The sequence below is a fragment of the Homo sapiens genome, chromosome 18 (assembly GCF_000001405.40).
Source record: "Homo sapiens chromosome 18, GRCh38.p14 Primary Assembly".
In the NCBI taxonomy this organism is placed as follows: domain Eukaryota; kingdom Metazoa; phylum Chordata; class Mammalia; order Primates; family Hominidae; genus Homo; species Homo sapiens.
In genome coordinates, this window is record NC_000018.10 from 74,139,001 (window position 1) to 74,160,768 (window position 21,768).

A 21,768-nucleotide genomic window follows, 5' to 3' on the forward strand; every position below is an offset into this window, starting at 1 on the left:
ACCTGATGGGCTCCCCGACCCCCACACTGTTCCTGCAGCATCTGGAGCCCCCACCACCACACCTCTGGTCTCCCCTCGCTGGCAAGCTCCTCTCGAAGCTCCTGAGTCTCAGTGTTCAGTTCTCATCTTAAATGCGCCTCCTGAAGTAAGTCTTTCCTCACCACGCCACCCCATTATTCTGGACTGGGGGATCCATTTGTTTTCTCAACAACAGGTATCCCAGCTTACTGTATTTTAAATCTGCCTCCCCGACTAATCATCAGCTTCATGAGAACATGTGAGTGGCTCACCATTTCTGTCCCAGCACCAAGAACAGTATCTGCTACAGAGTAGGTCCTCAAATATTTAATGGATGGACTAACCAAAGGAATATTTGCTCCATTTCTCATATCAGATGCCTGTAAAACAGCCTATTCCCAGAGCATAGGGTTTTAAGCTGAAATTAATGTCCTTAATGAAATATCCTTTCTGGCTTTTTTTAAAATACACTGAAATGTGTATACAGATATGTACACTGTTAGCTGAGCAAGCTGTGATACAGTATTAAAAGCCCAGAACTTGAAATCAGGCAACTTATATCTGAATCACACAGTTCTGCAATATGCAGACTACGTGGGCCTAGCTTCCTGCAGTGTAAAATGTCTCTCTGTGATCATCTCAAGCTTTCAGGCTCCCCATGAGGCTTAGCATATAATCGGTGTTCCATAAATGTTACTACAGTACAAATCTATGGACTTCTGAGCATCAATTAAACATAATAATTTTTTAAAGCTTCTGTGGATCTTGGTGCTGAGGGTCACAGCACAGAATCTTGCCATGGCAAATGGGCTCCCAGATATTGAAAGCTGAGAAATGAACAGAGCTCTTGAGCTTTCAGGAAAACACACTTTAATCTTCTTTCTTTCTCCTTTTTCAAGGGTCTTTATCAACTCAAAAGTGAATATTTTTGAAGAACGTTTTAATAAAAGGAAAATTCAATTTACTTGTCACTTCTTGAAGTTTCGTTTCATAAAGTTCATCTCATAAGGATAGTGGTGACAGGCCCATGACTCATCAAATGCTCCATGCTGTACTGTCTTCCTACACAATCCTATTCTTAGCAAGCTCAAAATAGCAACTTGGTATATACAGCATCATAACTTTCTCTAATAACCCCATGCCTAGAGGCCCCCAAAAGTGACAGTCTACTTCTGCTACTTACCCATCCAGGAACCCAGAACAGCAGGAGAAAGAGCTCTCCCAGTGCTGTCCACCTCCGGCATGGCACCTCAGGGCAGCAGAGCCTGCAGAAAGCTTGACCCCTGGCCCCTTTCTGAAAGTAAATGTGGGAAATTCAAATTATGTAATTACCAAATGAGGTGAATTATCTATTCCCTTCTACAAAATTCCAAAGGATTCATAAACTCCAAAGATTACTCACTGAAAAACTTAATTTCTGCAAAGAAAAAAAGGAAGGGAAGAAGAAAAGATGGAAGGAAGGAAGAAAGGCAGGGAGAAGGGAGGAAGAGACAGTGAAACCTTGATGGTAAGCAAGGAAGAAAGGCAGGGAGAAGGGAGGAAGAGACAGTGAGACCTTGATGGTAAGGAAGGAAGAAAGGCAGGGAGAAGGGAGGAAGAGACAGTGAGACCTTGATGGTAAGGAAGGAAGAAAGGCAGGGAGAAGGGAGGAAGAGGCAGTGAAACCTTTAGTGTCCTGGTAAGGAAACCTCAAGACCGTACTTACTCTGATGTGCTTTCACCCAAAGGTTTAGAAATATACACTCTCACTGTAGGCTTTCAACATGTCAAAGAGGTGTTACCAAATACATTTAATGGAAACAAAAAGGATACAGTTAGTGTACTGATTAGCCAATTTGGATAAAACAGAAACCATTAAAGTTTTTTTTAAAAAACTTACTATTAGTAAACTAGAACTGTCAACATAAAACACAATCTACAACTTTTCTGATCTTTGAGGGTTCCAACTCTAGCTTTTGCAGTCATAGACAAACTACCAAATACTCATCCACAAACTTTTACATTTTAACCTCTCCCATTCAATGCAATATATTTTCACTGGCCATCTTTTTATTTTAGTGGTACAGAAAACAGTAGTGCATCTTAGAATGAATGGTTTTTTAGATTCAATGAAATAGCATATAATATTTTTATGCAGTGAGTCTTTTTCAGAGGTTCCTAAAGTAAATTTTATTAAGATCAGTCCTCAAAACCAGTAGTACTCAGCAGCACCTTGAGGGAATCTGAAACACCAGAAAATCATACAGCTCACAGCCTCCATGTCTAGGCAGCAGCACACCCGGAGAGCCATGAATGGTTACACTATTTCTCTAGGAAAGGTTTGGAAGCTTCTGCTTTAAGCAACATACAACACACAGGTATTGGATATTGGCGCACCTCCTTCCTGATGTGCTATTTAAGAAGTGGCTAAATCCTAGAGAGTACATTATGTATACGCTCAGTTCACCAACATCATTGCTTTGAATGTGTACTTTGTGCACTGACAGTTTAACCACCCTCAGTTTTTCACACCAGGCCAATTCCCCAGATATAGTTGAAACAACATTCATAAAGGAGGGCAACAATTGGGAGCAAAAAAAGAGATGCCTTAAGAACTTGGAAGAAAAAGTAATGAACCAACCCCCCTGAAAGCTGAAGTATGAAATCCACACACAACTGGTCTTAACAGAGGATGGCCCTCAACTCTGAGCACAACCTATTAGATGACACAAGTGGTGAAAAAGGAGCCCTTGCCCTAGGCATCAGCTGGCCAGGTGACAGTGTAGCCTGGAGCCTACCGCAAGACAGCATCATGATATGCAGCACGCACTCAAATCACCCACTGGCACCTGGCTGCCCTGCTTCCCAGGCACAAGTCTCCACATGCTTCCAAGCAGCTACAGAGTAAATTCCTCTTCCCTTTGTGAATTTTTCTCTCTAGAAAAAAGCACAGTAGCTGGTACAGGGTAGGCCCTCCACAAATATTAGTGATCAGCTGCTCCACTGGCATCTCAACAAAGAAGTTGCATAAGGTAAACTTTTCCAGATCCTGTAAGAGTAAAAATGCACCGAGGAAAAAAAAATGCTGGCTCCACATGCCTTTCCATCCCAGCTTCAGTAAAAGGTGCTTAATATACTTTTGGTCTTATATGACTTTCTAGCCAATGGTTTTCAATCTGTGCTCTGCAGGGCAGGAAGACAGGGAGAAAGGACAGGAAGAAATGCTAATTGGGACATTTTTGCAATACCCTCTCCTCCTTTAATCAGATAATTCTACCTGTTATATATTTTTGTACTTCTGTTAGAAATTTTGTTTAAACACAGATTTCCACAGGAGAAAAGCTTAGGCTCCATTAACATGGTCCTAACATAGTAATCATAAGTAAAATATCATTTCCTAATTGCATTCGTCTCCTAAGACTACCTTCACAAACTGGGTGACTCAGAACAACAGAAATGTATTATGTCTCAGTAGCCAGATGTCCAAAACCCAAGTTGTCAACAGGGCCGTGCTCCCTCTGAAGGCTCTAGAGAGGATCATTCCTTTTTCTGGTGGTTGCCAGAAATCCTTGGTGTCCCTTAGTTTGTGTCAGCATAACTCTAATCTCTGCCCCCATCTTCACAGAGCAATCTTCCCTCTAGGCATATCTGTCTCTGTGCCTCTTCTTATAAGGATATCATTCATATTGCACTTAGGACCCTCCCTCATCCAGTATGACCTCATCTTAACTAATTATACCTGCAGAGACCCTATATCTAAAGAAAGTCACATCCTGGTGTTCCAGAAGGACATAAATAACTTTAGAAGGTATAATACACTTTGTTTACTGTCAATAGTCAACACAGTAAACAAATTTGTAATACATTCTAAAATTATTTAAAAGCATGACTTATTTTTAAATGGTTATTATTGTTGTAAAGTCTGTATTGACTTATATTACATATTCAAAGATAAAATATCTACAATTGATAAAGGATTCTAACACTTAAGCTTCAAATAAAGGGAATTTCTATCATTCCTTCATCAAACAATAACAATTCCTATCAGGAGCTCCAAACCTGTAACCCTTAAGCCTATGGGAGTGTGGGGGTTGGCTGTACCTAGAATCGGAGTCCACACATACCCTAAGCATCATATGAATAATTCTATATATACTTTAAACATAAATATTATTGTAGTTCATCAAATATAATTTTATTTAAGATATTAAATAAATACCTTACTGAATCAGTAACAGCTTTTTGTCATTGTTTATTTCCTCAATAAGAAGCCAGAAAAATAAAAACTGTTACCTTAGGCCTTTCCAAGAGAACCAAAGAAAAGTAAATTCATCTGATGGATCAATTTTAATCTAGCAATTGGCAAATACCAAATAAATGATGATGATTCATGCTGGCTATGTTACAAAGAAACAGGCATCCTCATTTACTGCCCGTAAGACAAGATACAGTGGTACAAACGTTATGGAAAGCCAAATCTGATATTGGAATCCAGGATCCTTAAAAAGCACATATGCTCTTTTAAGCCAGGAATTCCACTTCTAGAAATGTGCACAGATAGTTCACTCAAGAATGTCCATCTCAGAGTTGTCTGCACTGGGGGAAAAAAATACTAAAAACGGTATAGAGATTGGTTAAATTGCATGGTCTCCATAGAGTTAACAATGTCTAGTCAATTAAAATATAGATTTTTCAACCCAGGTTAAGTGTTTGAATTAGAAACAGGTCCCTGATGGCCTCCAGGTGTCTATATGGCTTGCTCCCTCACTTTCTTCAGCCATTTACTACAATGTCACCATCTCACTGAGACCTTCCTTGGCTGTTATATTTAAACTGCAATCCAGTCCCCTCTGCCACACACACATGCACTTTGTGTCCTTTCTCTGTTTCTCTCCTTAGCACACATCACCATCCAACACTATACATTTAACCTGCCTGTCTTGCTTACTATCGCTGGAATGACATGGGCAGTTATACTGCATGGGTTTGTTCACTGCTGATCGTTCAGCACCCACAATATGCCTGGCATGCGAGCAGCATTCAATAAATATCGCTGAATCACTAACAGTATAACTGAGAAAGCAGGTTATATCAGTATATACTACTAGGTTGGTGCTAAAGTAATTGCGGCTTTTGCCATTACTTTCAGTAACAAAAACCACAATTACTTTTGCACCAACCTAATACATAAACTTATTTTTCTATTTCTCTAAGAGGAAAAGTAAATATATGCATACAAAGAAAAGAGATCTAGAGACACCAAGGTTTAACAGTTAACAGATCTGATTCATAGGATTACAAAATCTGTTGGTGAAGGTCTTTTTAAATGGGGACGATTTAGGGGGCATAACTCCATGTATGTTCTAATTTTTCTTAGCATATTGAATCTGTAATAAGTTGGGGGGTGGGGGTGTTGTTTTAATTTCAAACCTAAGAGTCACATGCAAAAGAAGGCCAGGGAATCACAGTTTGACAGCACAATCCTTGAGACTGGAGCAGTGGTTCTCAAAGGCATTCCTAGCAACAGAACTCTTGCAAAGAAACTGAAACCAGGTCCCCCGAAATCTGGGGGTACAGTCTGCAGCAAACTCAAAATTTCTTAGGAGTCTCCCAATTGATCTTAAAAATTAAAGCAAATACTGCATTCTACTAAATAATCTGTCTTTGTCCTATCATAAAAATGTATTATATTATTTACCAGTTAAATTATTTAACATTTTCCCCAAAGCCTTTGTGTTGATTTTGCAGACAAAGAAGATGCTCTATGTGTTCCCCACCCACTACAACTACTCGTTTGAGAAGCACAGCGCCAGGGTGCTTAGATGTTTCAAGAATACATACTGGCTTAATCCACCACCAAGTTCTTACTGAAAACCTTAACTTGTGTGTCCCGAATTTATGAAAGATTACTGTGAAAACACCAGTGAAATAAAGTCACCTGTTTTGTAAACATATATGCATATAAAATATATGTAAATAAAATGATCTTAGTAAGTTCCTCAAAGTCATGCTGTAACTCTCCCCACTCAAAGATAGTTTTAAATAACGATTAAGCAAATAAATCCTGTTTGGTACTAGTTATTTTTTTTAAGTACCAAATGCTTTTCCCTAATCTGAAACCCTAATTCAGTAACGAATGGATATGCCTCTATCTTTGGCTAAAACATTTAACAGGGCTTAGTTAGTTCAATTCTACAAATACTTCTTAATCATATACTCTGCACAAGGTAATGTGTAAGTGCTTTAAGACATTTCATCCTTTATTTAATTGGAATATGAAGGCTATTTTATTACAAACATGTTTTCACACTTTTAAAACGTCAAAGCTTATTTCTTGCTGTTTTGTTTTTTCACAATTAAAATGGATCTCATAGAGTCCCTCATTTCAGTTTACAAGGCTAAGGCTCTAACAAGGCAACTAAAGAAACTTAAGGTCCCAAGCTAGAAGCAAAGACAGTCTCTGAGACGCCCATCTCCTTAATGTCCTGTCAGAGCTCTCTGTACCATGTCTTACATGAGACCATACATCTTATCAGTGTACCTTTTAACACTATTGGAAACACATTTCTATTTATCCATAAAATAAACCAACTGCACTTTTTTTTTTTTTTTTTTTTTGCGACAGAGTCTGGCTCTGTCGCCCAGGCTGGAGTGCAGTGGCGCTATCTCGGCTCACTGCAAGCTCCGCCTCCTGGGTTCACGCCATTCTCCTGCCTCAGCCTCCTGAGTACCTGAGCCTACAGGCGCCCGCCACCATGCCGGGCTAATTTTTTTGTATTTTTAGTAGAGACGGGGTTTCACAGTGTTAGCCAGGATGGTCTCGATCTCCTCACCTCCAGATCTGCCCGCCTCCGCCTCCCAAAGTGCTGGGATCACAGGCGTGAGCCACTGCACCCGGCCCCAATTGCACATTTTTAAGGTCCACATAATTAACAAATCAGCAAGTTCTATTTATGTTTTTATGCGAATCTATACGTCTACAAGGTTAAGTGTAGACATACACTGATACATTTAGCAAGATAAATTTAGTTTGAAAACACTTTTTTTCAAGTGACAGGTTTTTGTCTGATAGCTTTCAATAAGTCCAATATTTTAAAAACCTAATGACTGTGCTTCATTTTAAATATCTGGCAAATCAAATAAATTACAGCAGGTACAAATTAAGCCAACTTAATACGCTTTCTGCTACACTTCTTACAGTTTGTGATATTTATACATATTCACATTTTGTGTTAAAAGGGAACACTGATTCCTTAACAACATCTAATTTTCCACAGCGATATATTAAAATAACCACCTGCTTTGACCATAGTCAATCATTCTATTTTTAGCAGCGGACTTTTCTTTACCAAAAATAATGCATACATTTCCAAATCAGCTTGAAATGCAGGTTCCCATGCCAGGCATAATGACAGGCCCTCTAATTATATCAATCCAGGAAGTTCACTCAACTTACAAAGGATAAAAGATTCATCATATAAAAATCATTCTGCTTCCCCCTAATAGAGCACTATGTAAAGACTAATTTTAGTAATAGCAGCAAATTGATTAAAAGTTCAAGTTTCCTATTTAAATTCCTGCTTTTTCTCCTACATAAAAGAATTTTTGCAGGCATTGTCACCATTCTATTTGTGACAAGGCTTGTGGTATGTCTAGCATTATAGGTATTCAATTAAGAACTATTATCACAGCACTAAGCAACAGGGCTGGGCTTCTGAAAACAGGTAAGTGGAAGTAATGGAGACCTAGAGAGGACACAGGACATAGTTCTGGAGATTCAGGGGGAAAAAACAAGTAGTTCAACTAGTATGTAATAGACTCCCTTTGTGTGCTTAAACATAGACCATTGGTTTATTAGAAGGCAAAATATGCATGACTTTCCCTATTTATAAATCAAGGAGTCTTACAAGCAGAAAGATAATCCTCAAGAATGTAAACCATTCTTGGCATTATCCCTCCATCTGTAAACTAACTGCAGTGATGGGTACACAGCTAGGGAACAGCTCACGATATAATGAGAGGGATTTCATAAGGTACCATTATGCATGCTGATACTTCTGATGCACTGGCTCATTTTACTTCTTCACGCTGAAGATGCTTCTGGAAAGCAGATGAGCAAGACCTGGCAATGTAGATGGCAACTTAGCCTTGACGTTGGAGGTGCAGAAAGTGCTGCCCCCCACCCGCCAGACCAACCTGCCTGCCCGAGGTATCTGCTTGGGGGATGAGGGTGTCAACTGATAAGGTTTTGATGAACAGACTCTACTTCCCTAAGTTGTAAGGTCATGAAAAACACGAAGGGAGATTCTTGGTTACAGAAGAGCGAAAATACGAAGGCAGGGGCGGAGCACACGTGAATTTAGGGCACGCATCCCGGAGAAACGACCTCTTGGACCTGCACCTGTCCTGGCAGGTGCGCGCATCCCCGGCCACAGGCGCCGCAAGAAAAAATATTTCCCCGAGAGGCTACTCTATTTGTGTCATAACTTAGGGTACCCCACGTTGCAGGGTAGAAAGGATTTCCTCCGGTCGTTCTTCCATACCCTTCTCACGTTGAAGACGGCCACGGGCCTTGCGCCAAGCTGGACGAATAAAATACACGGTGAAGAGAGCGGGGCCGCGCAGTGACGGGCTTCCCGCCAGGGGACCCCACCCGCAGGCCCTACAGTCACCTGCACCCAAAGGCCCTGGCGCGCCCCCGGGCCGCGCCACCGCCCCTGCTGGGCCCGCGCAGCGTCTGGAGGCCGAGCCAGTGCTGCTGCAAGATCCGACCGCGTCCAGTCGCCATAGAGACAAGGAGTTCACCACAGGACCGCGCCAGGGCTGAAACGAAGAGTGCACGCACCGCCCCCACGCCCGCACGTCGCCACACCCCTTATGCGCATGCGCGCGTGAGCAAAAGTAACGGTATGCCCACCCTTGCGCAGACGGCACCGCGCCAGACACCCGCTCACAGAGCGGGCTTCTAGAAACTTCCGGGCCTCGGCTTCCTTACCCACCCCTAACATTCTGCCGCCTAGGGCGCCAAGCCAAGTTCGCGGCTTAACCATTTAGGAAACCGGTGCCTGCTTTGCAGCGGCCTCGTTCATCCCCACTTGCTGACTCTTTATTGTCCAGTTTTTCTGAAAACACAGTAAAACGCAAAAACTAAATCATTTGCCCACGCGGAATTGGCAAGACCACAGTCCAAGGGGGTATTTCCCACTGTGCACAGTCCTCTCTATAAGGATCAGGAAAACACGTAGATTGTAACTGCTAATTTGGCTTTTGCAAGTCCCGCCTGAACCACGTAGGGTGGGTGGTACCAATTCCCCCACCAACACCCCACTTTCCGCCGCTCCAGGGACGCGCAGCGTCTGCGCCGACGCTGGGCGCGGAGGCGTCTGGGGGCGCGGGAAGGACCTGCGCCGTGCTCTGGCCGCCTTGAATTGTGGGAGATGTAGTCTCTTTTGCGCGCCTCTTTGCCGTATCCCAGTTAAGAGCGAGGTTTTCAAACTACTATTCCCAGGAAGACGGGGGTTTCCCAGGTGACTTTGCGAAGGCATGGCGGGGACACTGTGAATGTCAGCCCAGAAGGTGATCAGAGCCTGTTAATTAAAATGGAAAGAAGACAGAAGGGAAGGTAGACATCAGGTTCTCCCTGGAGACTTTTCGTTTTCATTTACGCTGCGGAAACTGACGTTTTTGCCTAACACCCCATGTAATGTAAACGTATAGGCTTGAGTACGTGTCCGGCCGCATGTGTAGTGAACCCTAAAGCTTTCCTAATTGTAGTTAGCATCGTCCCTAAGCGGAACGATTTTCCGTGAACATGATTTGTACTTTTCTACGAGCCGTACAGTATACGGAGAAGCTGCACAGGTCCTCGGCAAAGCGATTGCTTTTGCCATACATCGTGCTTAACAAAGCGTGCTTGAAGACTGAGCCCAGTTTGAGATGTGGGCTTCAATATCAAAAGAAAACGCTGCGACCTAGATGTATTCTTGGAGTCACCCAGAAAACCATCTGGACGCAGGGACCGAGCCCCCGAAAAGCAAAGGAGGATGGCAGCAAACAAGTGTCTGTGCACAGGAGTCAGAGAGGGGGAACCGCCGTCCCAACATCACAAAAAGGTAAAAAGGAGTACTTTAATGATTGGGCTTTCAACAGACATGACAAGAGCTGCCAATGCCCTTTTATACCAAGTTCACTGCTAAAGGTGAAAAAGCAATTCACATGAATTTTTAAAAACCGTTTAAACATAATTTAGAACTAGAACATATAGATCTACAGTTTTCTTCACAGATTGGAACTCAGATGTGAAAGTTGATCTTGAATTTGATATAACTTTTTTTCATTATGTTTGGGAAATTTTTCTCAAGTTATATTGGCTCTGTTACATATAATAAAGAGTAATTGGATAGGATAAAAAGAGAGAGAGAGAGATTATTGACTCATAACTGGTAGGGAAAACTTTCACATGTTACCTGCAGTAATAGAAAAACATAAAATAGGGAGGATGGAATGTAAGTTGTCAGGGAAAGTCAGAGATGTATTCACAGATATTTTAAGATTTTTTTTTAATGTCTTCATTTCGCATGTGATTTGTAGGAAAAAAAAAGACAAAGCAATTTAGACCGCCATGATTATACCACACGAAGATGACTATTTTTAACATTTTGCACTTTCATACACATACCTTTTAATAATTTTTAACCCAAAAAATTGGATCATACCAATTGTTTTAGAGTCTGCTGACTATGCCAAAAACCTAGCTTTTCATTCATACTAGTTCAGCACGAAGGAACAACCTGTATGCAGAGGTGAAAGGCATAGAAGTGGCAAACAGCATGTGCATCAGGTCATCTGGCTCAGGCAACAGTGCTCATGCTTGCACTGCACACCAGGCCTGCTTAGGGACCCCTTCCCTCATCTGCACCCCATTCAGACGTGACAGTCCTTGTGGCTGAGTGAATTGATGGGAGCAACATTCCCAAATATGGAATATGCTGCGTCCAGAATTCAAACAGGCCTATGAAGCATTGTGGTAGGAGGTATAGGGTACAATTGTCTTTTACTTGGGAGGGCATGTCTTGGCACGCCCCAGTGTAGCCCCACGAGGTCGGCTCATGTGTTGATGAGCCTCTGCATCTTTGTTGGACCCACCTCTCACACTTGCAGCTTCTCTGACCAAGCCTTCTAACACACTTGCCACTTGTTACTTATGGGCTCTAACATGATGGCATAAATATAGTAGACAAATGTGATATTCTCCTGAATGTCCAGAACAGCATTATTCAAATAAAACTTTCTGCATAGAAATGTCCTATATCTGTGCTGTCCATTTGGGTAGTTCCTGGCCACTTGTAGCTATTTTGAGCACTTGAAATGTTGCTAAAACTTGTGACTGAAGAACTGAATTGATTTAATTTTAATTAATTTAAAATTGAACTGAAATAGCCATGAGTGGCAAGTGGCTACTGTATTAGACAGCCCAGGTCCAGAAGGTTTCAGTCCCTTAAGACTGTTATGATAGAGGGTGAGAGAATTAGCAAATCCTGGGCAGGATCATAAACATACACTGTTATTATCTGTTTCATGTTACTACAGACTACTGCTGCTGCTTCTGAATAGAAGGCGTTCTTCAAAGCAATGGCCAATACCATGAGATTGTGTTAATGCATTCCCCTGTAAAGTTACCATTTGTGGTATTACATGTGTACCCCGGCTGCCACTTGGTTGAGTTTGCAGTTAACCACTGTCATTCTCCAGCACCTATTTGTGTTTTGTAAAGGAAGACTGGTAAATTACAAGGGACCGTGATGGGGATCGCCATGCCTGTATCTAAGGTCTCTAAGAATACTCTGCCATTCCCCATAGATGTGATATCATTTTTAATTTCCTATCTTGGTCACCGAAAGGGCAGCTTCAGGGGCTTCCATTTGACTTTTCCCACTGCGATGGCTCTTAACCCACTTCCAAAGGAACTAAAGTGGGAGTTATTGTTGCCAGTTACTCAGTACATCCCCTTGATTTATACATTTGGAAATCACAGAAATTATTGCCAGGTAAGTCCCTGGACCCACCTGTGAGCTTCTTACATCCGGTGATGGAGGGCGGTCAGGGGGTCATCATGACTCTTTGGGTCCTTGGGTATCACTGTCAGCACAGACTATGTCCAAGTTGATAACTGTAGGTCCTTTTGGTGAAGGACGGGGGGAGTCAGTTACATACGCTTTCCTTCAGTAAATGCGTTCCAGGTCTGAAAACTGGTTCAGGTCCAGAAACTGGGGCAATGTTCAGGACTTTGCATTAGAGCAGCTGCCTTCAGCCTCAGGAATCATCTGTAGTTAATTTCTCATGACTGTGTAATTCAGAAGTAGCCTTGTCCGCTGCCCTTGTGTCTTCCCTTTGGAAACACTGTGTTCTAGTCATCAACTCTGTTGCTTTCTGTAGGTCAGACACTCCCGACTGCCACTCCAGCCTTGCCATTAGTTATGATGGTTGCACCCACCTTGGCTTCTGTTTAACACCCCAGCCTGGTCTCTGCTTCATAATTCTTTCATCTCCATTTCTGTCAGGGCATCCTGCTCTATAAAGATGTAACTGTGGCTTCCTTGTGGCTTTGGTACACAGTGTCCTCCTGTCCCTCCTAAGAACATAGTCAGCTGGTGGGTTTTCGGGCTTTATATCTTATATCTATGGTAGCATCCCCATTCTTGGAGGCTGTTGAGCCTTTCGTCCAGTTTGCCATGGCTGTTCTGTCACTTTTACTTAATGTGGACCATCACTGTCTCGAAGTTTCCAGGAGCAGACCTAGCCAGCTGCATATCAGTTCCCAGGGTGCTTGCCTGGTTGCTAAATTCATCACAGGAGCGTGCCCCATGCTGATCAACTCTCAGCTGGTTTTGTGTTCTGTGCCCTTGACACACCACCCTTAAGAAGCAGTGGTGTCTATGTTCCCCCCCCCCCCGGGGGGACCTCCAGCTCCTTCCGAGTATTGTTCTTCTCACCCTTCTCATGCCCAGTCGTGTTGTAACTTGGCCAGGAGGGGAGGTGGAGAGCCCTCCTGAGAGCAGCACGTATCTTGCTAGGCAGAAACCCCCACCCACCCCTCGCCCAGTTTCCAAGGTGGAGGAAGTGCCAACCTTTACCAGACACTGAGCTGCTGCTTCAGGGCTAGAGGGGTCAGGAGAATTGGGATTCAAGATTTTTTACAACATTGACCTCAAGGGCCCCCTACCCAGCTTTAGGTTGCCTTTCCTCCCAAATCAGGACCCTGACCTTGGTGTGGGAGGTCTCATGGGCTTGAAATGCCAAACTCCCTGAATCCCTTCCGCCCCAGACCTCACCCACGCATTTTCTATCCTCTGGGTGCAATTTGAGTCTTGTTCTGCCGGGGAGGAGGCTCCTGCCCTTGGCACTCACCTTCACTGGTGATTAGTTACACACTTCATCTCACCATCCCTCTCCATGGCCCCAGCCACAGCCGTCTGATATAAGTCCTTAAAATTGCTGATTCCTCCTAAACTCCCAGAATAACACATCAGCCAGTACATTCCCTTCCGCCAGCATTCCATCCCAGGTCCCCATTGGTGAGAGCTGCATCAGCTGCACTACAGCTCTATGACAGGTGCTGTCAGTACCCCCCTACCACCAGGGACAGGGTCCTCATTGCCAGCCAGTGGCCGGCAAGCCAGCTCCAAAATCCAAATTGAGAGCTGCTTACCACTCCTGGTAGCACCCGTTGTAGGTTGGCTTCCCAGGGAAGTGGGATTTGCGTAAGGTTTATCAGGGAGTGCTCTCAGAATACGTCTTGAGGGATGAGGGAAGCAGGACTGGGCAGAGGGAGAGGCCGAAGTGCATTTGCAGTTGGGGCCTCAGCTGCTGCTCTGGGGACTTCTGGAGCTGAGCTGGCCAGTCACTGTCCTACCTAATATGGGGGCTGAGTCTTATGCTTCTGCATCAACCAGGCATTGAATATGGGCTGGTCCAGGGAAGTGCCGTGACCTAAGTGAGGAAGCTCTCTTATGATGGAATGCCCAGAGAGGAGCTCAGCTGACAACTGTCCGCTACCAGTGCTCCCTGCAGCTGGGAGCCCCATACCACAGCACCCACTATAGGAGGGGTAGAGAATTGTGGAAGCAAATAAATGGCATGAGGGTTTTTTGCATACAAGTATTAGGTCTGATAGGGTTCAGAAAGTTAGACAGTGAGCAGCTTCCATTGGAGACAGCTATAAAGTAACAAACAGAAATTTTTCAAGTGTGTAGAATATGGAGAATATTTAGCACAGGGCTTTATATATAACAGATATACAGGAGCTGTTGTTTATCAAATAAATGGAAAAGACCTGTCAGATACCCTAAGCAAGGTAGGAATGAATTGTTGGAAGGGACAGTCAGAAGTCCAGGGTGTTGGGGCCAATGACCCGGTTTGGGTAACAAGGACAAATAAGGATACTTACTAGAACTAGTTAGTTGTTATTGTATTCTCAACCTGGGAGTTGATACATAACTGGCAGGTAATATTTATTGAAATGTATTTTGTGACACTGAGAGTGGAATGAGATGTCGTCATTGTAGGCCCCAACTCCTGAACCTTGGAAGGGAAATTGGATTTGTGACAATTGTTTGAGTCAGTCCCATGAATTACACAGATTTTGGCAGATGAGGTCTTTTTATTATTTGAATAATGTCTTCTAAGTTGGGAACCTTGCTGAAAACTTGAAGGATTGTGATACGCTAAAGACTACTTTTAAACAAGCGTTGTATTAGCTAAATACTTCTTTTAAACAATGTTGTTTATAAACATAATAGAAGCTTTTTATACAGAAGAGAAAATAACAGCAACATCTATTAAAATTTTCTTCCAAAAGTTTTTTTCTTAAAAATTTTTTAAAGATTTATATTTCAGAAGTCTGAATGGCTAATGTGGTGAATAAATTAGTCTATAAACATAATGCCAGGAGGTGACTCACTTTCTCAGCATCAGTGAAAAGCATAGTCGTAATTGTAATGTTAAGGTAGTGTAACTGTAATGTTATAGCTCTTTGCATATATATGAAGATACACATGGTAGATATACAGTAGCTGTTGGTAAGTGAAAAAATAGAAAGACTCACCTGATACGCTAAGCAAGGCAGGAATGAAATGTTGGGAGGGACAATCGGGAATCTAGGGTGATTGGGGTAATAGGGACAAATAAGCGTACTTGTATATGTATTTCTGTATAATACAAATACATTTATTTATAGCTATACATATGTATATATTCTGTCCCCTGACACTGTCTTTTTTTTTTTGGACGGAGTCTCGCTCTTTCGCCCAGGCCGTAGTGCAGTGGCGCTATCTTGGCTCACTGCAAGCTCCGCCTCCCGGGTTCACGCCATTCTCCTGCCTCAGCCTCTCGAGTAGCTGGGACTACAGGCGCCCGCCACTGCGCCCGGGTAATTTTTTGTATTTTTTGTAGAGACGGCGTTTCACCGTGTTAGCCAGGATGGTCTCGATCTCCTGACCTCGTGATCCGCCTGCCTCGGCCTCCCAAAGTGCTGGGATTACAGGCATGAGCCACCGCGCCTGGCCCCCTGACACTGTCTTGATTGAGTTTCTCTAGCTCTCAGAGTGTCTGTTTAACCCATATGCACATATTTTATTAGTGTGGGAAAACAAATGTCTGGTCTGTGCATTTTCTTCATTTTCTAAGTTTAATTCATAAATCTTTCTGGCCAACCATATTCCTACTCTGAACACAGTTCTGTTTTTATGCACCAGTCAGTGTGGGGTGGGACTGGCATTCGAGCTAGTTACTAACTGTTAAGAGTTGACACCCATTTTGGTCCATTCAGTCCCTTACCCATTTGGTTGACAAAAGCCAGCACTCTTCCTAATCTGGGAGTGTTGCCTAACCTACAGCAGTTGTGGACTGGATCACTTGTTAAAAGGATTTCTTCATCCTAAATTAAAACATAGATTCCCAAGCCCTGCTCTGAGAATTCTGCTGAGGCGCTGACACACAGGGAGTTTTCAAAACAGCTGCCCCTGAACACACACAGACCCCTTGCTTTGATCTGGAGGCTGCTTTTCTCTCGCAAGAAGTGCAAAAGCAGCAGACAAGCTTGCCTGCTCCCAGCCGGCACCCGTAACCCATTGGTGTTTTCTCTTCACAGTGAAAGAAGCCGGAAGAGATTTTACCTATTTAATAGTGGTGCTTTTTGGAATCAGCATTACAGGTTGCAAAAAACAGCAAGTATAAGCCCTTGAATATTTTTTAAACTGGACTTTTTATGTTGCCCTTGCTTCGCTTCATCTTTGTTTTCTGTGATTTCAGGTGGCTTGTTTTACACGATTTTCAAAGAACTTTTTTCTTCATCCAGTCCTAGCAAGATATATGGGAGAGCCTTAGAAAAATGCAGATCACATCCTGAGGTTAGTTCTCAAGATTGAGTTACATGAACTCTGATGAGGGGGAGAAAATGTCTGGGAGGAGGAAGTGGGCAGAATTCAAGAACCAGTTCTCACGCTAGTGAAATTCACATAATAATACATAATGGTCGAGTCATCATTACATTATTAGGTCTTTGCTCTTTAAGAGAACCCAAAAGTCAGTGTACAGATGTTTTCATGCTAATTGTACAAGACAGTCATTTTGCTGGTTGTTCATAGATACTAAATTTTTAGAATACACCAAAATATTGAACTCATGGTAAGTTTCTAGTCTTTTTAAAGCCTGATGCATGACCTCATGGTCATAATGTCATTGCTGACACTTACCGAAAATGTGTCCGTGCAAGCACTCTGCCCAGGGTCTCAGTGCATCATCTTTATTCAGTCTCACAAAAACCATTTGTGTTCGGCACTACTTTGTCTTCAGTTTGCAGAAGGGGAGACTGACACTTAAAGAGATTAAGTAACTTCACCAGGATCACTGAGCTAGTAAGTGGGGGAACCGGAACCCGAATCCACACAAATCCAAAATTTGCTTCCAAATCTAAGCTCTTAAGCACAGTCTGCCTCTACCCTTCCCTGGGAGGAGTGGACATGGGGAAGCTGCCTTGGTTCTTTGAAGGACCCTGTCAAGAAGGAAGGCTTTAGATGTGACCTTCCAGTCACACGTAGCCGGTGTGGCCTGGGAAGTGTCAGATTTCTTACTCCCTGCTGCAGACCTTCAGCACTGAAAATATTACTCATTGAAATACAACTTCATTCACCCTGAAAGATAACAGCAGGTAATCGTCTGCCATTATCATCATAAATATTAGGGCTGTTCTTCACACAGACCAAGGAGTAATGTCATAGCTCGCATTTGCAGCCCCTGAAGAGGAGAAAGATTTCAATCCACAGCGTGCTCAGTATAGAGCCCGGTGCTGATCTTCCCTGGGGCCCCGGCTCTGAATGTTCTACCAGTTTTCTAATCATGTCAGGGTGGAAACCTCAGAAGCTAACGATCTCTGGCATCTTTCCTTTTAAATCCACTGATTTCTCTTCATTGAGCTCTGGACAGCCAGTGGTAACCATGGAGAAAGGCAGGGAGGATAAAGTATCTCAGAGGTGAAAACCAGGAAATAAGGAAGGTTCGTTCCCATAATAGTTACTGGGAATCCAAATTTTATCTGACAAGAAACATTCTTTACAGACTCCGGAAATACCTGTGGGTGGTAACCTCATTAAATGTTAGGACGCATCTCTGGAAAGAGATGAAGAGTTGCTGTTTTATTCGCAAACTCAGCCTTTCGTAGATTTTTCAGCATTTTGAACAAAAAACTCCACAAGAATATACAAAAGTGGGATATTATTGAAGTCGTAACTTCATTTGCTGCCTGAAAAAACTCTACAAATAATAATTAAACTTTAACAATTTTGTCAACATTTTTTAAGGGGTACCCTTCTCTTTGCTGGGTACTGTGTCTGCTTGAAAAACAAAATCTTGATGGATGTTGATATTTATATGTTTAATAGATTAAAGTAAATTGTTCTATTTGTTTGTGCTATACAATTCTGCAATATCATCTTACATATTACTTCTTTTTATCCTGGAAAATGTGATACTGAAGATACTCCACAAACAGACAAAATAAGATAAATTTCGTAGAGTTGAGGGTCAAACTTTTTTAGTTTAATATCAAATTTATATTTTTTAGAGGGTTCCACAGTATTTGCATTTTGAATTCAATAAAAACTACATTTCTACTTCATGTGGATTTTCTCATTAGAAATAGTAGATTCACACCTGTAGCTCTGATTTATTTTAAATGTCATTATCTGTTTTCTTTTTCCTCACTGTGTTTGGTAACTTTAAAAATTTTTTGATCTCATAGTTTTAGTATTAGATGCTATTAATTAATTACATTTCATTAAAAATGTTCATACATTTTATCTTCAAACCATAAGGGGTTAGTAGAGAAACATCTGAACTCTGTGTTGTTATGTTTGTTTTCTGTAAGAGGAGCAGGAACTGCGTCATGTCAACCTACATTGCTTTGAAACTACAAGTCACACCATAAAGCTACCTATTTTAATCTTTGTGCATGAAATATTTGTTTAAATTATTTATGGGATGATTTTTGTATAATAACCCTTTTTTCAGTTTTCTTATTGGAGTGGTCATTTTTTTATTTGTTTGTTTGTTTGTTTGTTTTGAGACGGAGTCTCGCTCTGTCACCCAGGCTGGAGTTCAGTGGCACGATCTTGGCTCACTGCAGCCTCTGCCTACTGGGTTCAAGCGATTCTCCTGCCTCAGCTTCCTGAGTAGCTGGGACTACAGATGCGCATCACCATGCCCAGCTGATTTTTATATTTTTTAGTAGAGACGGGGTTTCACCTAGTTGGCCAGGCTAGTCTTGAACTCCTGACCTTGTGATCCACCCATCTTGGCCTCCCAGATTGCTGGGATTATAGGCGTGAGCCAGGAGTGGTCATTTTTGAAAAGGTCCTAAGCTTACTGATTTTTTTTTCCTAAAATCATCTGGTTTGTTAAAAATTATTTCTTTAGAAGCTTAAAAAAATAACACAAAATAAAGCACTGTCCTTGTTCTGCAGGTGATCGGTGTCTTTGGTGAGTCTGTTAAAGGCTATGGGGAGGTGACAAGGCGGGGTCGCCGGCAGCATGTCAGGTACTGTGGCTTGAATTCAGAGGAGGCTCTGGGGAGATTTTTAAATGAAAGGAACTTAGACTGATCTTTCGTTTTCTCGACAGGTTCACTGAATATGTAAAAGATGGGCTGAAACACACGTGTGTGAAATTCTACATTGAGGGCTCTGAGCCAGGGAAGCAAGGAACGGTGTATGCGCAAGTGAAAGAGGTGTGGGAATCATGGGATGTGGGGTCAGAGGTTCTGAGCGCGGTGTTATTTAAGTTCTGGAAAGGAAAATAATACCTGGAAACACTACATTTTTTTCAGAACCCAGGAAGTGGTGAATATGATTTTCGATATATATTTGTAGAAATTGAATCTTATCCTAGAAGAACTATTATCATTGAAGATAATCGATCCCAAGATGATTAAAATAGGGTTTCTGATGGATGTTGAATGGCGTGGACTCGCTACTCCGTTCTTCACAGCTGCCTTCCAGAATGTGTTCAAAAGAAAGACAAGAAGGAGTGTATGGCTTATAAAGTGAATCTAATACAGTATTTGTTGCATTTAAACAAACTAGACATTTTCTTACGGAAAAATTATGAAATACAGCATATTTTATGTTCTCCCATTGACTCAATCATGACAATATTTCTGCTTTAACACCATCTTTCATGATTAGAAATGTTTGTTATTGGAAATGTTACACCATGTAAATAAAGGAAATAGATTTTAGTATTGTATTCATTTTATATTATAGAACTGCATAATGTCTGCAGAATAAAATTAAAACTAACAAATATGTCATTAGCAGCTGCCCTCCGCATACTTTGGAATCTGACTTGAGATAAGCATGTGAAAATGGTTGAGGGCCATAGGGAACCAGATGGTAAATACATTCTTCAAAATTGTGTGAGTTTTAGGAATCTGTCTCATATTTCGCGCTTCATGAATTAAGGGCCTAGTACATAGCGGGAAAAGTACACACTCCCAAGTTGGGTAGACCTGGGCACCCACCCCACCTTTTCTAGCAGGTGCGTGGTCAAGTGTCCCTGTTGTGTGGGTTGTTAGGATGGCAGTGTGATGAGAGGTACAAGCCTGGACCATAGAAGGCAGCCATGAAGTGCCCTCATCCCCTTTAGAACTTACTTGCACTGATACTTCTGACTGCCAAAAGAACATGGGAGTGAATGAGAGACATTCAAATACGTGTGTGAGGCCCCTTAAAGAAAAAAAAAAAAAAAAAGGAAATTCTATTTTATTTGAAATATTTGCTGGGGATTTGGAAAAAAGTGACCTTCACTTACAAGATCCTGATTCCATATCTATGTAAGTGCTATGTGCATTGGGAGGGGTCTAGAACCATGTTTATCTGCGGTGGCTTCAGTGTGAGGTATCCCCTCTGATGTGTTTGTTCCTTCTCCCCGAGAACTGTCTGTAGAGGAATTTCTGATGTGTTCTTGAAATTTTGGGATATTCAGGATAGAGAGACCTCCAGGCAATCTATCTCCCCTTTTTACTTTATCTCCCTGCTTAATTTAGTTAGTTTCTTGGTTTGACTGCTTGTTTTAGATGTTTTTAATTATAAAAATTTCCAACATTTAAGGAGTATAGAAAATATAACAGACACTCGTCTCCCTGACGTAACACACTTTGACTGAATGAGGCCTTAACTTAGGCTTTCTCTCCTAATCGTTTTTTCCTTTGCTATAGAATGTTCAGTTTCAGGATTCACTGAAATGTCAACATTTAACAGGCTGAGAAGTTCCACTTGCTATCCTAAACTCAAAAAAGCAGCCCTGCTCTTCAAACAACCTGCTCAAACTGTAGCTTGCTGAAGAAGCCCGGCATCTGAGCTCAGGTGGGGATTTAGCCACCCTCCATGGCCCTGTCATTTGACTTAAGACTGTTTGCTTTTTCTGTATTCATTTTTATGCACCTGCCATTTTACAATATGCTCATGCCCCTTTAAGATCTGAGCTTTTGGCCAGGCGAGGTGGCTCATGCCTATAATCCCAGCACTTTGGGAGGCTGAGGCAGGTCAATCACTGGAGGTCAGGAGTTCAAGACCAGCCTGGCCAACATGGTGAAACCCTATCTACTAAAAATTCAAAAAAAAAAAAATTAACCAGGCACGTTGACACACTCCTGTAATCTCATCTACTCAGGAGACAGGAGAAGCGCTTGAACCCAGGAGGCAGAGGTTGCAGTGAGCCAAGATCATGTCACTGCACTCCAGCATGAGTGACGGAGTGTGACTTCGTCTCAAAAAAAAAAAACAAAAAACAGATCTGAGCTTTTATAATTAGAAATAAAACTAAATTACTTTTTCAAAAGGAAAAACTCTGTACCAATAAGAGATTCTTCTGTATAGCCACAGGAAAATGTGATGTGTAACTCTCTAGATCTCTGTTTTCATTCCCTCTGATGTACCCTACTAAATGTTAAAATTTCTGTGTTTTAAGACCCTCTTTAATCCACTTTGATTGTGGTGTCTCTGTCCATGGGCTTACTCCCACTTTTTCTCTGAATTCTAGGGCACTTATCTGACTCTGCCTGGTATCCCCTTCCGTCATATTTGTGAATTTGCAAATGCTCTGGTCATTTTCCTCCAAGGCCTCTGTCATTCCTCCACACCTGATCAGTGAACTCTTTTCACAACTAACTCTAGAGCAGACTCTCCTGTCACTGTTTGCTCTTCCTCCTTAATGAAGAAA

At 42.1% G+C, this 21,768-nt stretch overlaps 2 protein-coding genes across 12 annotated transcripts in view, besides 6 other annotated features; one reads left to right on the top strand and one right to left on the bottom strand.

Annotated features, from left to right (window-relative positions):
- The window catches only part of FBXO15 (F-box protein 15), a 74,467-nt gene extending 65,633 nt beyond the window's left edge, over positions 1-8,834 (bottom strand). For 6 of the 10 annotated variants that reach the window (XM_011525856.2, NM_001142958.2, XM_011525860.1 and 3 more), the window contains exons 1-2: positions 8,670-8,834; positions 1,202-1,312 (exon numbers count right to left, since the gene is read on the bottom strand). In XM_011525856.2, the coding sequence (XP_011524158.1) occupies positions 1,202-1,312; positions 8,670-8,785 (227 nt within the window). In that variant the 5' untranslated portion in view covers positions 8,786-8,834. Of the gene's footprint in view, positions 1-1,201 lie in introns of all 10 variants that reach the window. The other 4 variants (NM_152676.3, XM_047437341.1, XM_047437342.1 and 1 more) reach the window with 4 other exon arrangements.
- Positions 8,564-8,713: a silencer, noted in NCBI's record as "silent region_9541". NCBI's record gives its function as "represses an Ori minimal core promoter by ATAC-STARR-seq in GM12878 lymphoblastoid cells {active_cell/tissue: GM12878}" and the evidence as "EXISTENCE:reporter gene assay evidence [ECO:0000049][PMID:35858748]".
- Positions 9,404-9,523: an enhancer, noted in NCBI's record as "active region_13491". NCBI's record gives its function as "activates an Ori minimal core promoter by ATAC-STARR-seq in GM12878 lymphoblastoid cells {active_cell/tissue: GM12878}" and the evidence as "EXISTENCE:reporter gene assay evidence [ECO:0000049][PMID:35858748]".
- On the top strand, positions 9,523-21,531 carry TIMM21 (translocase of inner mitochondrial membrane 21). Of its 2 annotated transcripts, none has more exons than XM_005266689.5 (6): positions 9,523-10,109; positions 16,145-16,224; positions 16,306-16,403; positions 19,014-19,087; positions 19,171-19,276; positions 19,376-21,531. In XM_005266689.5, the coding sequence occupies exons 1-6, from the start codon at positions 9,973-9,975 to the stop codon at positions 19,478-19,480; spliced, it is 600 nt and encodes a 199-aa protein (XP_005266746.1). In that variant the 5' UTR covers positions 9,523-9,972; the 3' UTR covers positions 19,481-21,531. The 2 variants fall into 2 exon arrangements, with proteins under 2 accessions (XP_005266746.1, NP_054896.2); NM_014177.3 differs by having other exon boundaries at positions 16,145-16,207.
- Positions 9,554-9,603: an enhancer, noted in NCBI's record as "active region_13492". NCBI's record gives its function as "activates an Ori minimal core promoter by ATAC-STARR-seq in GM12878 lymphoblastoid cells {active_cell/tissue: GM12878}" and the evidence as "EXISTENCE:reporter gene assay evidence [ECO:0000049][PMID:35858748]".
- Positions 9,684-9,773: an enhancer, noted in NCBI's record as "active region_13493". NCBI's record gives its function as "activates an Ori minimal core promoter by ATAC-STARR-seq in GM12878 lymphoblastoid cells {active_cell/tissue: GM12878}" and the evidence as "EXISTENCE:reporter gene assay evidence [ECO:0000049][PMID:35858748]".
- Positions 11,517-12,716: an enhancer, noted in NCBI's record as "BRD4-independent group 4 enhancer chr18:71817752-71818951 (GRCh37/hg19 assembly coordinates)". NCBI's record gives its function as "activates an origin of replication core promoter dependent on BRD2, P300/CBP, MED14 and CDK7 cofactors, and independent of BRD4, by STARR-seq in HCT116 cells {active_cell/tissue: HCT116}" and the evidence as "EXISTENCE:reporter gene assay evidence [ECO:0000049][PMID:35650434]".
- Positions 15,903-17,102: an enhancer, noted in NCBI's record as "BRD4-independent group 4 enhancer chr18:71822138-71823337 (GRCh37/hg19 assembly coordinates)". NCBI's record gives its function as "activates an origin of replication core promoter dependent on BRD2, P300/CBP, MED14 and CDK7 cofactors, and independent of BRD4, by STARR-seq in HCT116 cells {active_cell/tissue: HCT116}" and the evidence as "EXISTENCE:reporter gene assay evidence [ECO:0000049][PMID:35650434]".
- Positions 21,532-21,768: the final 237 nt, after the last annotated feature.